This window comes from Homo sapiens, chromosome 14 (genome assembly GCF_000001405.40).
Source record: "Homo sapiens chromosome 14, GRCh38.p14 Primary Assembly".
Classification (NCBI taxonomy): Eukaryota; Metazoa; Chordata; class Mammalia; order Primates; family Hominidae; genus Homo; species Homo sapiens.
Window position 1 is genome coordinate 21,023,879 of NC_000014.9, and position 16,893 is coordinate 21,040,771.

At 50.3% G+C, this 16,893-nt stretch overlaps 3 protein-coding genes across 34 annotated transcripts in view, besides 2 other annotated features; 1 reads left to right on the forward strand and 2 right to left on the reverse strand.

Annotated features, from left to right (window-relative positions):
• Nucleotides 1-16,893, reverse strand: part of NDRG2 (NDRG family member 2) — a 54,110-nt gene that overhangs the window by 7,116 nt on the left and 30,101 nt on the right. For 6 of the 27 annotated variants that reach the window (NM_001282216.2, NM_001354560.2, NM_201538.2 and 3 more), the window contains exon 1: nt 1,151-1,183. The exons of 1 other annotated variant lie outside the window; for it this stretch is intronic. The gene's annotated coding sequence lies outside the window, so the exon portion shown is untranslated. 20 more of the 27 variants (NM_201536.2, NM_001282215.2, NM_201537.2 and 17 more) reach the window with 15 other exon arrangements.
• TPPP2 (tubulin polymerization promoting protein family member 2) lies at nt 421-12,474 on the forward strand. 6 transcript variants are annotated; one of them, XM_011536420.3, is made up of 5 exons: nt 6,339-6,426; nt 6,635-6,876; nt 7,134-7,287; nt 8,442-8,502; nt 11,916-12,216. In XM_011536420.3, exons 2-4 carry the CDS (start codon nt 6,704-6,706, stop codon nt 8,487-8,489), a joined length of 375 nt encoding a protein of 124 aa, XP_011534722.1. In that variant the 5' UTR covers nt 6,339-6,426; nt 6,635-6,703; the 3' UTR covers nt 8,490-8,502; nt 11,916-12,216. The 6 variants fall into 6 exon arrangements, with proteins under 6 accessions (XP_016876455.1, XP_011534722.1, XP_011534720.1 ...); XM_011536418.2 differs by lacking the exon at nt 11,916-12,216 and adding an exon at nt 8,727-8,937; XM_017020966.2 differs by lacking the exons at nt 6,339-6,426; nt 11,916-12,216 and adding an exon at nt 421-466 and having other exon boundaries at nt 8,014-8,937.
• Nucleotides 1,016-1,305: a silencer, noted in NCBI's record as "silent region_5576". NCBI's record gives its function as "represses an Ori minimal core promoter by ATAC-STARR-seq in GM12878 lymphoblastoid cells {active_cell/tissue: GM12878}" and the evidence as "EXISTENCE:reporter gene assay evidence [ECO:0000049][PMID:35858748]".
• Nucleotides 8,940-10,929, reverse strand: RNASE13 (ribonuclease A family member 13 (inactive)). The gene is made up of 2 exons (NM_001012264.4): nt 10,778-10,929; nt 8,940-10,418 (listed from the first exon to the last, which is right to left on the reverse strand). Exon 2 carries the CDS (start codon nt 10,408-10,410, stop codon nt 9,940-9,942), a length of 471 nt encoding a protein of 156 aa, NP_001012264.1. The 5' UTR covers nt 10,411-10,418; nt 10,778-10,929; the 3' UTR covers nt 8,940-9,939.
• Nucleotides 15,260-15,424: a silencer, noted in NCBI's record as "fragment chr14:21507297-21507461 (GRCh37/hg19 assembly coordinates)". NCBI's record gives its function as "represses an EF-1alpha promoter that drives an FKBP-Casp9 reporter gene in an ReSE screen in HepG2 liver carcinoma cells {active_cell/tissue: HepG2}" and the evidence as "EXISTENCE:reporter gene assay evidence [ECO:0000049][PMID:32094911]".

Here is a 16,893-nt window from a genome sequence, read left to right on the forward strand (position 1 = left end):
TCCAACCAACCCAATGCCTCCCTTCCTCCCAAGACCCTTCCTCCCAACTCTGAATAAACTCCGCAAGTTCAACATTAGTGGGTGAGGAGCAGAGCACCTGGACAGACCTGCACAGGAAGGAGCCTGCAGCCTGCGGGGTGGGGTCACTTACTGGGCTCCTATTGGCTGGATGCAGTGGGATTAGGGGTCAGGGTTCTCACTCCTTCTGACTCTGGGGTCTGAGAAAACACAGCAACGAGGTGAATGACATGGGAGACAGACCTGGGGTCTTTCAGGGACGGAAAGCCTCAGCCAAGACCCAGACTCCCAGGGTCATCAACCTCCTCGGGTCACTAACCCTCCCCAGTGTCTGTCTACCCCTAAGTCCAGAGAACACGTCCTCTCTAGGCTCGAGCCGGAATCAATATAGGCTACAAGGGCATCAGTTCAGGCTGCGCGGAGGAGAGAAGGAAGTGCTGATGTGGAGGTAAGAGGGTGGCCCTGTCAGAACCTCCGGATTCGAATCCCGGCTCTGCCACTCCCAGTGTGACCTTGCCCCAGTTAGTTACTACATTTGGCCTCAATTTTCTATCTGCAGGGGGACTAAACGCGGGGGAATAGGGGATCCCCAAAATTTTTGACAGCTCTCCAGTAAGAGGAGGGTAGCAGAGCATGGCTGTTTCCCTCCACAATTTAAAAACAAACACAAAGATTGGTGCCGTCGCTTCTCTCCTCTACTCAGTCTCCGTGTAGGTCCCACGAGTGGAGAAAGGGAGAGGAGAGCGGTCCCACAATCTTCTCCCGTTCTCCCCCGACGGCCCGCGAAGGCAAGCGCCATCGGGAAGGGATGGGTAGGACAGAGGAGACCGGCCGGGCCCAGCACCCGGAACCCGTCCCTACGAGTCCCTACGCAGCCCGTCCGCGTGGAGACTGACACCCTTGCGTGGCCGGTGCCAAGCGCCCCGGACCTTGCACACAACCTCGCGCGCACCCCAAACACGCCCTGCAGCTCTTGGAGCCTCAGCCTTTGTGCGCAGCAACCGAGCGCCCGCTCCGTGCTGGCCCTTTCCCCCGAGCCTCCAGCTCCAGGGGACGCGGATCAATCACACCGCCCGCCGGCCCGGCTGGCGCCTTCCAGGCCCTACGGCCCCTCGCCTGCCCCTCCCCCTACCTGCTGCCGCCGCGGCCGCTTCCACCTTCACTTGCCTTTGACTCGGGCCCGCCCCGGCTCGGGCTTCCCGCAGACCCGCCCCCGGCCCGCCCCAGCCCGCCCACGGGCGCTAGGCTCCCCGCAGACCCGCCCCAGACCCCCAGTAAACACGCCCCCCCTTTCACCCCGCCCAGACTGCCGCTCAGGAAAGGGTTGTGCTGGGGCCGGGGGGCGAGGGGCGGGCGGCTGGACGCTTCCAGGCTCTGCTCGGCTCACCAAAACATTCCACCACCCCCTCCCCGCATTGGGGCGGTGTGGGGAGTGCGGGGATCCCTCAGCCCTGAGAGGGATCCCTCGGCTGCCCTCAGCACCGCCCCATCCACGACCTGGATCTGCAATTGCACTCTGGCTCCTTCCTTCGCCCCCAGACTCAGTGGTGGGAACCGGTAGTGGGGAGACGAACCCGGGATACTGACACCCCACGAGTTCGACTCCCCCCGCCCGAACACAGAGAACTAGATTAAGAAAGGAGGAGGTGGGCGGGACCGCCGCTGAGGAGGCGGGGGTCTCGCCGGCTGGCAGGGGCAGGTGTGCTGGCGCCGAAAGGGGGCACGGGGGAACGTCGAGGGCGCAGGAGTTCCGACTCCCTCGTGCCCAGAGTCCTGGTACCTCTCCTCTCTTTGCTGCGTCCCGACGCCTGCTCTCCGGCTGCTCCGGGAGAAGTTGGACAACAAGGCGGGGAGGTGGGGGCGGGGAATGCGGGGGGCCGCTATAAATAGAGGGCGATCGCGGGCAGGCGGGGGGTGGGGAGAGGATGGCCAACAGGGACTCTGGGGTCAATGCCTCAAGGGGCGCGGGGGAGGGGCCGGGGACCCCCAGAGGCTCTGACTCCTGGGTAAACAGGCGCAGGGGCGGAGTTAACCCTGCGGGGGTGGAGTAGGGGCTTGGGGAGGACGCAGTGTCCTGGGCTGGGACCCAAGAGACCCTGTGGCTTCGCCGCTAACCCCTCCCAGTCCGGCCCAGAATAGGAGACCAGCTCAGGCCCGCTGAATCGCAATGCCCGGGGGATGGTCTCAGGGTCTGCCGCGTCCCTCTCGGTGCCCGAGTGGGTTTGCCACTGTAGACTTTACACACACACGCACACGCACACACACACACACACCCTGGAATGAGCTCTCCTTGTGCCCCTCGGAGGAAGGCTCCCTGGAATGAGTTAGTTGATTAAAAATGTGGCTTAAGGGAATTCGAAGTTGTTTAGGCAAAAGGAAACCTGACTGAATTTCTCCCCACCTGCCCCCCTTGTAGCTCCCCCAATCCCAGGATCATATCCACCCCAACCCCCTTCAGACTGGTTCCTGAGTTGCCATTTCGGGGGCTGGGCGCCAGGCCAGTCAGGAACAATGGCCAATGGAACTTGAGCTGCCAACTGCAACACCAGCACCGACTGCCCCCCCAAGACCCCCAAGTTTCCCTGCCCCCTCCTGCCTGGGAACCACCCTCCCACCACCACCCTCACCACCCGCAATACCCCTCCCATCCAAGGAACATCAATGCCCCTTTCATCCCCACTTGGCAGGGTCTACTGGAAAGAAGGAGAGGCCAAGAGGGAGGAGGTGACCCACAGTAGGAAAACTGGTCGGGCTAAAACCCAGCCTTCAACAACCCCAAATCTAAGGAGCTCCCCCTACATCCCCCAATTTGGAGCACCCAACTTTTCTTCTGTTCCTTTCTCCCACTCCCTTTATAACTTTTTCCCCAGAAACTGGCACAGAAGCTGGGCACCCTGGCTCCTCTCCTAGTCCCCTCTTCCCTCTGGATGCCAGTTTAACACTCTCCTGGACAAGGAAAAGCCTGCTGGAATAAGGGTCACAGCCAAAGGTGCGCAAGACAGGAGAGATCTCATCAGCACCAGAGGAACCTGGGGAGAGGGAGAGCCTCGAGTGAGAACTTTTGCCTGCAGGCTTTTCTTTGTCAAAAGTCGTCTTACTTGGAGTGGGGGAGGGAAGGACCTGAAGGTTCCAGCATCTAAATTCGTCTCTGGGTCAGGATGACTCAGGGGGAACCTGATAAGGGGCCTACGCAGGGGCGCAGGGCAGGCAGGAGATGGGAAATTTCCACTGACATCCATTGGCTTCCTAGACCTTGGGGTCCCACCCAGCCTGCTGCAGGCAGAAGTAAGGCTGGTTCTCCCCTAAGATATGGTTCTTCCATGTCAGGGCAGCTCCCAGCCCAACCAGGGTGTAAGTGTTGCAAGGACAATCTCTGTCTAAACTCTTTCCCTTTGGCCAGAGCAGCTTCACACTATACCTTCAAGTAAGCAACAGTTTTAAGTATCTGTTATGTGCAAGCCACTGTGTAGATGAAATTCAAAGTGTGCATCTGGTCACACCCTCTCTAGACATTTGTGATGAGAAATGACATTTTGACATTTGTCAAGAGAAGGTACAAACACAGGACAAGTTATATATAAGATCAATCATTTGGACAGTAAGTCCTATAGCAGTAGTTTCCCACCCTTCTCAAGTGGGAGATTAGAGATTTCCAACCCCACATAATAGGTATAGTATCCCCTGATGGAGAAAATGCAAACTATGAATTCATCAATACTTTGAAGTAAGTTTCTGTCACAACATCTGTAAATGCGGTAATACCTACACATGCAAGGCATATTATTTACTCAGTTCACACTCACTCTTTATACATACAGATTCTAGGGCCCTTTGCAAGATTTCAGAAATCCTCACGCCAGGAGGCTGTGGCCCACAGTCTAGAAATCATTATCTTACTATAATTCAGAGAAGGAAAAGGGCTTTGTTCCTAGGATGAACCACCAAATGAGAAGTGCAACCATGGAATACTTGAGTGGGAGTGAGGGGCATTCTATCCAGGCACAGAGAGAGCATGAAGGACAGTTTGGAGGCAGAAACATTCAGGTTACTTTGGAGAACTGAATAGTAGCTTCCCATGTATTATCCCCTAATACCGTAAGGTTAGTGTTATCGTCCTCACTGTACAGATGAGAAAATTGAAACTCAGAAATGTTTAGTGAGTTGCCCAAGTCCACTCAGCTAGTAAATGACATATCTAGGATTCATTTCCCCACCCCGGTCCATTCCACTCCAGGGACTATGCTCCTTCCACTCCCAAGTAGCCTGTCAAGTGTATAGCAATTAGGCCATATGACCCCAGCTGCAGAATAATCTGGTTCTTAGGTTTTTTGTTTCTTGGGGTTCTTTTTGTTTTGTTTTGTTTTGTTTTGTTTTTGAGATGGGGTCTCTCTGTCAGCCAGGTGGGAGTGCGCTGACACAATCCTAGTTCACTGCAGCCCCAAACTCCCGGGCTCAAGCAATCCTCCCACTTCAGCCTCCTCAGTAGCTGGGACTACAGGTGCATGCCACCACTCCCAACTAATTTTTTTATTATTATTTATTTATCTAGAGACAAGGTCTCACTTTGTTGGCCTCCCAAAGTGCTGGAATTATAGGCATGAGCCACTGTGCCCTGCCCAAGAATAATGTTGATGAGAGGTGGGTGATGTTTGGTAGGGTAGATTGGGGCCTAGTTAGTTGTATAGGTCCTTGAATGCTAAGCAAAAAGATTTAGCAATGAGAAGCTATAGTATATCTTGAGCCACAGAATATTCTTGAGCAGGAGTAATAAAAAATACTGTTTTGTGAAAATTAATCTGATGGGGAGGAGGTAATAGAGATGGATTATGGGTGGGTGGGAGTGAAGAATTAGATTTAGAAAAGAGATCATTTAGAAACCAGAGTAGTCATCCAACTATGAGATGATAAGAACTTGAATAAGGGTGGAAGCAATAGGAATGGAAAGAAAGGCATAGATTTGTAAGACAAAGAAAAAAAATAGAAAGTGGTGGCATTATTAGATGGGAAAAGGAGGAAAGTCACCAGTCTCGTTGCTCTGTTTTAGGATCCGTGAGGTTCATCTATCTGTAGTGCTTCTGGCCAGAGAAAAGGCCGAAGAGAGAAAACCCTGAGGAACATCTTTGACCTGCATAGAAACTTATCTGAAGATTTTCAGAATCTGAGCCTCACCCTCAGTCTATCCCAGTTTTATCCTGACCTGTCCACATCTGTTATACTCCAAGGCTTGCTGGGCCCAACACTGGAAGCTATTTAATGTTTCTATTGCGACTGGCCTTTTAAAGCCAGTGGGATTCTCCATGCTACACTTGAGCCTGGAGACTAGAAAACATGACAGCCTGTTTTCATTAATCCGTTTTCATTAACTGCTGTGGTCTGAATGTTTATGTTGTCCACAGATTCATATATTAAAATCCTAACTCCCGGCTGGACGCAGTGGGTCACACCTGTAATCCCAGCACTTTGGGAGGCTGAGGCAGGTGGATCACTTGAGGTCAGGAGTTCGAAACCAGCCTGGCCAACATGGCAAAACCCCGTCTCTACTAAAAATGCAAAAATTAGCCAGGCATAGTGGCTGGGCTAATCCCAGCTACTGGGGAGGCTGAGGCATGAGAGTCGCTTGAATCCTGGGACTGGAGGTTGCAGTGCCCCAGGATCATGCCACTGCATTTCAGCCTGGGCAACAGACAGCGAGACTCCATCTCAAAATAAATACGCAAATAAATAAAATAAAATCCTAACTCCCAAAGTCATGGTATTAGGAGATGGGGCATTTTGGGGGGTGATTAAGTTTTATGAGGGCAGAGCCTTTCTGAATGGGATTCATACCCTTATAAATAGGCCCAAGGGAACTCATTCACCCCTTCTACCATGTGAGGACACAGCAAGAAGGTGCCATCTATGGACCGGAAAGCAGCCCTCACCAAACACTGAATCTGCCAGCACCTTGATCTTAGACTTCTCAGCCTTCAGAGCTCTGAGAAATAAATGTCTGTTGTTTATAAGCCACCCAGTTTGATATTTTGTTCTAGCAGCCCAAACAGACTACAACACCTTCCCTGGGCTCGCCTCAGCTTCTGTTGTGGGGCAGAGCATAAGGCAATTTGACTAGGACCCAGAGGATGGGTAAGCTTGGCTGAAATGATGGAAATGTGATCATCTGAAAAGGTCAGAAAGTTGGCAGTTTGCTCAATTCGGCATGCAAGGTAGGGAGACCAAAAGCCCCCTCCTTTGAAGGCAATGGCTGTAGCTGGGGCCAGAAGTGATGTCACATAACCACTGCTGAGGTCATAGAATCTTCCCTCTCCTCCCTCTGTCTCCTCATTGCCACAGCCAACCGGCTCCCACATATCTGCACACACTTAAATACAAAGGCCGGGAAGGGTCAGACCACCATCCGGGTACTCTAAGGTACATAAAAGAGGTAGGGGAAAGAGAGGATCATTCAGTAGGTAGGATCCACACTGGTATCTCCAATGCTGGGAATGGGAGACTCATGCTGTAGTTGCGTAGGTGCAATGGGAGCTGGGAGGGAGAAAGGAGAGAGCAACAGGGAAGAGGGGAGCTGTTCCTGTTGCTGACTGATTTTACCATAACACTCATCCTCATTACTCCACAGTCCTCCCTCCCCCTTCTCCTTCACCCCCAAGTGTCTCCCACGACTGCCCTCCCCGACCTCTAGCTGACCATGGCATCAGAGGCAGAAAAAACATTCCATCGGTTTGCTGCGTTTGGAGAATCATCAAGCAGTGGCACTGAAATGAACAACAAGAACTTCTCCAAGCTGTGCAAAGACTGTGGCATCATGGATGGCAAGACAGTCACCTCCACGGACGTGGACATCGTGTTCAGCAAAGTCAAGTGAGGAGCCAAAAATATGGAGGTGGGGGTGAGAAGAACCTGCGAGGTAGTTGGCCACGGAAGGGTTCACGTGGTGGAACATTTGCAGTGGGCCTACCAAGCACCACAGGGTACCTGGCGCTGTGCTATCCTTTGTCTTCGAGACACTCACTGATTGATAGGACAAAAGAGGCCAAATCTGAGTGAGGCAAGAGTTGGACCTTGGAAGGTAATGCATTCATGCTCCAAAGTTTCTGGATTTCTGTCTAACTGACCAGGGCCAAGAACGCCCGAACCATCACGTTTCAACAGTTCAAAGAGGCAGTGAAGGAACTGGGCCAGAAGCGCTTCAAAGGGAAGAGTCCAGATGAAGTCCTGGAGAACATTTATGGACTCATGGAGGGCAAAGACCCAGCCACCACTGGCGCTACTGTGAGTGACAGCCTTCATCCCCTTGACCCTACTTCCCTAAATCCCCATTGTTCCAGTCTACCCTCCCTAACCCTGCCAACTGTGTGACTGTAGAGACAGGGCCGAAACAGACTTTAGAGATCATCTAGACATTCCAGAAGTCAGGAAAATGTGGCCCAGAGAAGGGAAGTGACTTGCCCAAGGTCCATGGCTATTTTAATAGTAGATTTAGACTAATTTCCAAGTGTCTAGTATCTGAGCCAGGCAATTAGGGCTTGGTAGCTTTTGGAGGACATTAGTGTAGAGAATTTGGTACCTGATGCCCACTCCTCTTCCAATTCTTATTTAGGGTTTAATCTCAGGCCTCCTGCCTCTCACCTACTCCCTTTTTTAATTGTCCTGTCTGAACTAAAAGCTCTTTCTACAGTGGATATTGAGTCGGGGAGTGGGAGTGAAGTCCTCAGGCAGCAGCCTAGTCAGAATAACTCCTCTGGAAACAAAAAACCTACCCTCCCTCTGCACACGCCACACTCATTCCCACACCACACTCCTCCTCCCCCATGAGTGAACGGCTCTTACCAGAGTACCTGCCCACAGCTGTATCTGGGCCCTAAGAAAGCAGCACCCCATGCCAGTGGCAGAGCAAGAGCTCCAAGCACTTGTTCTAAGTATCTCGGGCCATCTTTGGGGAAGGGATATGACAGCGTAAGGAAAGGAAGAGAGCTCAAATCCATCCCTGGCTTGCAGAAAGCAACAACAGTGGGTGCAGTGGACCGTTTGACAGACACCAGCAAGTACACCGGCACCCACAAGGAGCGCTTTGATGAGAGTGGCAAGGGCAAGGGCATTGCGGGACGGGAAGAGATGACTGACAACACAGGCTATGTGAGTGGTTACAAGGGTTCTGGCACCTACGATAAGAAGACCAAGTAGAGAGGAGCTTCATCTCAGCCTGCTAGCCCCCTGACCCTGCATGTTTAACACCAGGGAGCTTGGAAAACAATAAACATCTGTGTGTGCAGCAGCCAAAATCTCTGTCTGTGAGGGACAGATGAGCCTACTAGTGTAGAGAGAGGGAGAAGAGGCAGCACAGGAGGGTGGGTTCTCCACCACACACCCTTCGCTCTGCTTAGCCTTATGCCTACCAGCCATCAGTTAGCATTCCTCCTCAACAGCTGCTTCCAAGAACAGGATGGAAGAATATATTTGGAGTAAAGAGATGAACCAGATGTGGAGGTAAAAGTATCTACTACTTGTGTTCACACATTACTGATATCCACCTCTCCACCCCCACCCCTCAAAAGGGTGTAGCAATTCCTCACGTGATGGACTATGACTATATCACATATTAGATCCTTCCCTGTCCCTCCACCTTCCTCATCTGTTGCAATTCAGGTTTTTTGGGTGGAGGAGTAGAAGCCAGCTAAGGTTGCCTGACTTCTATTACAAATTTGTTCCAGAGCTGGGGTAAGGGGAGAGTCTATTTTCAACACCCAGCCCAGAACTAAGTTTTACCCCACATCACCTCCATCATGGGGCACATGGGACAGAAGAGCTTACTGACTGCTAAGGGTAGCTCAGGAAGATGGCCAGATGAGGCAGGCTGCCAGGATTCCAAGAGCAGGAGTTCTGGTGCACTGAAGAAAAAGCAATTAAATCACAACAGAGTCAGATGTGTGTTATTAACTTTTTATTTTGAATTGATTATGGGTTGACAGGAAGTTACAAAAAATGGTACAGAGGGGGCTCGTGTGCCCTTCACCCAGTTTCCCCCAATGGTTACATCTTACATACTCAGATGTGGTTTTAGAAATTTATGTTCGATTAGAGCCGGGCCTGCCTCATTCGCTGCCTGGTCAGGGGCAGACTCTGGAGTCTGGGGGATTTGGGAGGAGCTTCTGGAAGAGAAGGGAAGCAGGAACCTCTGGGGAATGGGTGAGAGAAGATACCTTGAAATGCCAGTGAGCCAAGGTAAGAAGACTGGAAGAAAAAGAGGTTGGAAAAAGGAAGGCAGGGTGACTACGGTTGTTGGGAGTGTGGGGGAGACAGTCCTAGGCTCCATGGTAAGAGGAAGCAGGAGAGGACAGTTATATGAAGGGAGAAACCATGATTTCACAGAGAGAAGCAGGCTGGAAACTGGGGGTTGTGGGGAAGTGAGGCTAACATGAGTCTGAGGGCCTCAGGGAGGTTCCTATAGCTAGCCATATCCCCTGAGTAGGTGGGTGAGTGGAGGGAATTATAAGGGAACTGGGGGAGGCTGACATGAGAAGGCTGGTGGGGATGGGGAGGTGAGACTCGGAGCTGGTGCCTGTTGCCATGGTGTGAGCTGAGGCCCTGGGCCTCCATCCAGGACTTAGGATCTGGCCCAGTGGGTGGACAGTCACTGCCAACTGGACACAGTCAACTTCTTGGGTGGGTTTTACTGTCTCTGGGAGAGGAAGGATGATGAGGAGGTGGGGGCGAAGAGGGGGTAAACAAGCTGGAAAGAACCTAGAAGATAGCACCACTTTGCATGGTGATCAAAGCCCTGGACATTTTCGCACCCACCTGGTCTCTTGGGAGGGGACCCTGCCTGCCTCGTAAGTCAGGAAGGAAGTCTTGTTACAGGGATCAGAGTGTTGGAAATGGAGACAGCTGGCCTGTGGTGGTAGAGGTTGGGGAGTGGCTCAGGAATTAAATTCCCGAATAGAGACCAGCGATACCTATTGGATCAGCTTCATACTTGCGGGAGCAGAGTAGGTAGAGCTTCTGGTTGGTTAGGGTGCTATTGTAGTAGCAGCTAGTGGGTGGCTGTTGGTGGCTCAGGGAGCAGACCGTGATGGGGAGGGAATCCTGGGTGAGTGTGCAGTATTCATTGTAATTCTCACAGAAGCTGTCACTATACTTGCAGAACTTCTGGATGGCCTTCCAAGGGGCATGTATCACATAATGGATCTTTGGGCAATCTGAATTTTGCATCTTGCCTCGCATATAGGACATCAGACCATTACAATAGCCCCGGAAACCCTTTGGGTAGTTAACCCTGGGATAGTCAATGCTTAAGGTATAGAAGTTCCTGCTGCCAATCTGCATCTTGATGTCCATGACCAGAGTTGGCCCCAGAACAAGCTGGAGGAAAAGGAGCCGGGTCACAGCTGGTGCCATTCCTCCTGCTGGTAGAGTTAAGGTGGTTGGGGGCAGCAGTGGGCCTGAAGTGGCTGTCTGCCACATCCCAGAGCCTCCAGCATTCCCAACCCAACAGTACTTTAGAGATCATCTCACCCATAACCAAGTTCTCATGACCCAGAAAGAGGAGATGCTTGCCCAAGGCCACCCAGACAACCAGCCACCTTCAGCCAGCCCTGCTCCCCTGGTCCACCACAGAATCTCAGCCTCTGCAGAGTCCGTGAGCTACATTTGCAGAATAAGAGCTCTAACTGGTCCTTGGGTGAGAGACTCTTCCCAAGAGTCCTTGGGCCCCTGGCACTCCTGCTAGTAAAAAATGCAGAGAAGAAAGAAGGAGCAGGCTGACCTGACAATTCTCTGGCAGCTGGGAGGAAGGACAGGAGCTGAAGATAGCTGGGTAGGGACGTGTATTCTTCTTGCCAAGGCCAAGACAGTCAAGAGATGAGGAGAGGCTAGAAAGGTTTCTAGGTAAAAATCAGTCTGGGAGGAGGGAATGTCCCCGAGTTTGATGAGCCCCTGTGCTAAGAGGGTTGGATGGGTGGGAGGAAAGAGGCATTACTATCTGGTCTCCTCCTCTACAGTGTCATTGGAACACTTACTTCCAATCTCCTTGCCAAAAGTTCCTAAGTGCCTGGGCTTTCTTTGATGTTTTCTCTGTTCCATAGCCTGTGCTCTCGTGGCAAGGTGAGTAGGAAAGCACTGTTATGTTTCTGAGGAACAAAGTGCTTCTTATTCCTGACCCTCAGAGAACAGAGCATTCGCCACTTTGTCATCCCACTCACGGGAGCCCAGGAGGGCATGTACTCAGGGGCCTCCCACCAAAGTGCTGGGCTGAGAATCAAAGACCTCCATGTGGACTCCCCACGGTCCCTATCAGCCTTACTCCTGTCACACCCACAGCCTTCACCTGTGACCTCAGGCCCTGTCAGAGTTTGAGCACTACTGGAAATCTCTGCATGCTGACTCTGAAGCCTCAAACTTGGCAGTTTGGATTTGAAAGCATAACCTGAACATGAAAAGCTGTGGATGCCAGAGCCTGGCATGATCCGTTTCGTACTGTTGGTTGATCTCTGAGTGGTTTGCCATGCTGGGGAAAGGGCCACGCTCCTATCTTTTTCATCAACATCTTCCCTTTCATCAGAATCAAAGAGCCAGCTCCCTGGAAACTGCTAGCTCTTGCCCTTGACTTCCACAGGTCACTCAGCCTTGTTAGTCTGCAAGGTGTCTTCCAGATTTGGGGCCTCCTCTTAGGAGAGCCTTTTTACCTTTGCTGGGCAGCAGAAAAGGGGAGTCAGAACACAGAAAGCTGAGTGCTCCAACACCCTCAGTATAGCTCAGGAGGAGGGAGTAAGGCCGCAGAGAGAAAGATTGGTGTTCCTCATGTAGAGCCCCCTAAACTGGCACTTTCTGACAGCACAAACCACAGTCCAAAATGGAATCCATCCTCCCCATAACTTGTTTCTCTTCCTGTTTTGTCAACTCAGTTTCCCTGGTTACCTATGCAAGAAACCTGAAAGTGATCCTAGACCCCTCCACCTCCCCAATCCCAGCTACGGGGAGGCGGTCCTGCATGGTGGTTAAGATCAAGGCTTTTGAGTGAAACAGACCAGGAATTGAATCCTGCCTCTGCAGCTTACAAACTGCACACCATCTATCTGTTTACGAAACCACTGAAAGCTTCCTTGTTTCATCTGTTCATGAGGATAGTATTTTTTACCTCACGGCAGTATGAGGATCCATTAAGATGTATATCAAGAGTTTTTAGACCAGTGCCCGGCACATGGTGAGTCCTCAGTATGAGCCTGAGTCCATCAGTCACACAGCCCTGACAATCTTAAACTTTTCCCAAGCCCATCTCTTCCATTCTTATTTCTTCCTCAGTGGATGCTCTCGTCTCGCCTGGACAGCACACACACTCCAACTCCAGTAAGACTCAACTCAAATATATCTCTTATACAACTTCAAGAGAAAAAGTGTGATCCCTTCTTTCGTCTAAAAGTCTGCAATAGCTTGTTTCTCATAGGGTAGGGGTGCCCAGTCTTTTGGCTTCCCTGGGCCACATTGGAAGAAGAATTGTCTTGGGCCGCACATAAAATACACTATCACTAACGATAGCTGATGAGCTTAAAACATGCAAAAAAATTCATAATGTTTTAAGAAAGTTTACGAATTTGTGTTGGGCTGCATTCAAAGCCATCCTGGGCCACATGTGACCCGCGGGCCATGGGTTGGACAAGCTTGTCGTAGGGTATAGTCCAAACTACATCTCACAGGACATAAGACTTCCCATGATCTTGCACCTGCCCATGTGTACAACTGCATCTGCATCCCTGCCTGCTTCCCACCTTGTCCCCCACCTCCTCTATGCCCTATCTGCTGCTGTCTCCTCTACCTGGAACCCTGCTGCTGCACCGTTCCTCGCCCCCATCTATTCCATGGTGCTAGCTCATAGAAAGACTCAACCCAGAGGTCCCACTTAGAAAGCCTCTGCTGGGAAGACCTCGCCAAGGAAGTGGGCACCGTCAAGCAAGTGAGGATAGAGCCCACATGGGCAGGTGGCTCATCTGTATTCTTCAGGCTGCTCAACAAGACAACACTGAGCGGGTGCCAATGCAGGGTGTCGCCTGAGCCTGGCTGACTCAGGCCTTTGCTTTGAGGAAGCCAACCACATTGTGGTCCCTGCCTTGAATCATGCCACCTCTTCCCTGGTCCCTCAAGGCTGCAGCTTCCCTGAGAATAGAAAGGGACTTTTTATACCTTTTGTTCTTCCTCTTCCTTCATTCCCCAGCCACCCATCACCGCTCTTCGCTCCCCCCACCCAACACCACTCACTTCTGCCGCACAATTACAGAAACTGAACAGCACATTATAGAGGAAAGCATTCAGGACTTAAATGATTTAATGATGATGAGCCTTCGGCTTCCCAACTGCAATCCTGGTGATCTGTTCCCTAAAATCCTGTCCTAGAGGTGCTGATGCATAAGATTACTTCATCCATTCTGACAACCTCATCATGGTGTCATGTGCTCCGTAAGCCTGAGATTAGTGGGATTGTTACCCCATTACACCGGGTTTTACATACACAAGCATTTCCCTAGGGATGAAAAACTAAGTTCTAGAGTGACAGTGGCTTGCTCAAGGTCATATGTCTAATTCAGTAGTTCCAGGGACAATTGGATAATGTCTGGAGACATTTTTGGTTGTCACAACCAGGAGTTGCTACTGGCCTGTGGCCAGGGATATTGCTGAACATCCCACATTTCACAGGACAGCTCCCATAACAAAGAATTATCCAGACCAAGATGTAAATAACACTGAGGTTGTGAAGCCCTGGTCTAAATAATTAGCTAATCAAATTTCTTAACCAAAGCAGACTTACTTGTATCTTATGTATTAAAAAAATGATAAACATCTGGGACATCAAAATATTTTTGTTAAACAAATGTTGATTGTAATGGTGCTGATTCTACCAGAAAAATGTGTATTGATAGTTCACCATTGAAACAATAACTGAGTTGTTTTTCCTGTAAAGATGACCCTCTGCATGTAATCATTTACACATTCTCTCCCTTCCCTCCCCAATGGTAAGCATTTATAGAACAACTGGCTAGGGTGGCAGGTGCAAGGGTGACTCCCTATGACTGAGGAGAACCCCAAAATTTTGCTCTGAGTGGGCTCACCATGATCTCATTGGCATTATCTTTTGCCCTGTCCAATTCAAGTTGCTCAAACAATATACTGTGTCATGGACAGTTCCTGGGCTGTCCTTGAACCTGAAGGATTGCCTCAGCCATCTCAACCTTCTTCTCATAGCATCACCTCAAACCCAGGGCTGAAGTCTAGAAGCCGCATTGTCACTTCCTCATCTGTTAACCATCTCTGTGGGCTGGAGGCAATCCCACCTCAGACTGGGATCATTCAGGAGCAGACGGAATGCCTTCTAAAAGTTGAATCAGTTAGGGTCACTTATATGCAAGGCATTATGCTATATACTGTGAAATGTGCAAAAGAAATGTAACGGGTGGTCCTCATCTTGTGGGAATTGACAGTCTAAGAGAAAAATAATACATACACATGAAGAAATAACCAGTGATTCAAGGCAGAAAATTATACATTCTGAAGACAGTAAATGCTGTAGGAATTTAGAGGTGAGAAAGATGTCTCTGAATTGGGAGGGTCAGAGAAAGTTTTCCTGAAGGGTCACCCTGGCTTGGAAATGGATCTCATGGTGAAGTTAGAAGTTCAGTGGAGATAAAGAGGATTATGAAAGACATGCTTGAAAAATGGGGGGAAACCGGTCTGGCTGGGGTTGAGGCACTCAGTGGGAGAAAAATCAGAGATAAAGTTAGAAAGACAGGTTTGCCCGATTGTGACAGACCCTGATTACCAGGCTAAGGAAATGATACTTTGCTCTGTAGATAAATGGGGAGCTGGGAGGGCTTGTGAGACAAGGCCCCAGTGAACCCCCAAATCAGTTTCCTCTTTCCTCCATCCTGGCTTGTCTAAACGCATTGGTCTGGGAGCCAAGGATTCCAAATTTCTGTCAGTGCTGCCTCCTCCTGACCCACAGCTGTTCCAGGAAAGGTCATGGGAATTCAAGGACCTGAAGAAAGTCCCACATCTGACCTCAACTTGCTGTATGTTTCACTTTCTCAGTCTACAAAAATGAGCCCATTACCTTTATTTATCAAAGGACCAACAAAATTAGGATAACAGAACTTGGATCTGCTTTTGCTTGGAAGGGAACTCTCACGGGCTTTCCATTGGTATCCAGAGGCTGTGTGGAACTCCGGAAGGCAGAGAGGCTTGGCTCTGAAGGGTAGGCACCAATCCAGGCCCGGCCCTCCTCTCTCCCTTCCCCCTTCACTCCCTCCCAGCACAGGCGAGAGGAAGCAGCAGCTGTTGTCCTGTGGGGAAGACAGGCAGAGGTCCACCTGGCACTGTTGGGATTTTCACAACACCCGCCCCAACTTAAACACACACACAACAGCCTAAGGAGAAGCTGGGCCAACAGAAGTGACTTCGACGATAGAATGAGAAGGAAGCAGGGGTAGAGATTGCTGGTGTAAGGGACTTTTTCTTCCCTTCTGTCTTCTCTCCCACTGTTTTGTCTTCTGCTCTTGCTCTCTCTCTCAGAGTCTTTCTTCTCCTCCTGTGAAACTCCTGAACCAGTCCCTGGCCTGATGCCTGAATCTTTTTGTTCTTCCTAAACTTGTCCCCCTTCCTCCATCTTTTTCTGTTGCCCCATGAATGCAGTGAAGCCAAAATAGCAAAATCAGCCTACCAAGTACAAGGTGAAGCAGATCTTGGAAGCTGGATAATTTGGGCACACAAACAAAATCACCTCCCTTATCCAAATAATTGAGGCAAAACAAAGATTTCAGTTGAATTGCACGTATGGTAGGTACGACTCAATTTCGATTTTCATGTGCAAACTTAAAACCTTACTCTCTTTTCCCTTTGGACTGAAGCAGCAGGGCCATGTTTATTTCACTTTCACACAGTCCTAAGGCAGCCTTCTACGCAGCCCAGCATACTCGAGTTGAAGAGCAAACTAGGATAATTATAATATCAGGAAAACACAAGTGTAGAGGGAAATTTAAATCATGGCTTGAAAACATCCCACTCTAGGATAATGAGAAGTAGAAAGGAGACCAAGCTAGGCATTCAAATGAGCTTGCAGCCTTCCATCCAGCCTCCACTCCAAAGGCTAGACTGGCCTGTGCTGATACACATTTGATACACAGCCTGGTTTAAACCGTGGATTTTATCTCCTAACATTCATGTTTCTACGGCAGCAGGGGCATAATTCTCTATCCAGAACTTCTATCCAGAAGTTCAGCCTGCAAAGTTTGGGATACCTTAACAAAGAAGTGAACAGCTGCTCCCCCAACCAAGGCCTCGCTGAGGACAAACCAGAAGAGCCAGAGGCCTGTGTGAACTTGTTCTTGATTCTCTTTTGCCATCTAGTGGCATTTCTCATCTCCAGCACCACTTTTGCTTCTAAAGATCCTTCATCCTGACCCCCAACCCACAGCTGTGCTGTCCAGCTACTAAAATAATGTCCTCCTGGCCTCAAAACAAACTCCCCATCCTCCTGACTTAGAATCATAAATTCTGGACCAGAACACAAACTTTATGATCAGGATGGGTTGTGCGACTTCTCCACAGTTATAATCCACACAACAGCCAGGTAATCCTTTAAGCTGACACGTTCTTTATTCATCTACTTAGAACCCTTCCAGGGTTCCCTACTGTGCTTGGAGTAAAAGCCACAGGCCTTCAAATGGTCCGTAAGTCTTCCCAATGACCTGGTCTCTGGTCCCTCTCTGAACTCTCAGTTACCTGCTCCAGCCACACTGGACACACTGCTGTTCCTCCAACACCTCAGGCATCTGTCTGCTCTGGGGCTTTTGCAGTGCTAGTCTCTTCACTTGGAACATTCTTCCTCCGGATAATCAC

Excerpts from the sequence above, each read along its gene's own strand:
- TPPP2 (XM_017020966.2), top strand. The coding sequence starts at position 6,704 with ATGGCATCAGAGGCAGAAAAAACATTCCATCGGTTTGCTGCGTTTGGA. Across the intron at positions 6,877-7,133 it reads ATCGTGTTCAGCAAAGTCAA|GGCCAAGAACGCCCGAACCA; the intron begins GTGAGGAGCCAA and ends CTAACTGACCAG. Across the intron at positions 7,288-8,013 it reads CAGCCACCACTGGCGCTACT|AAAGCAACAACAGTGGGTGC; the intron begins GTGAGTGACAGC and ends CCTGGCTTGCAG.
- RNASE13 (NM_001012264.4), bottom strand. The coding sequence starts at position 10,410 with ATGGCACCAGCTGTGACCCGGCTCCTTTTCCTCCAGCTTGTTCTGGGG.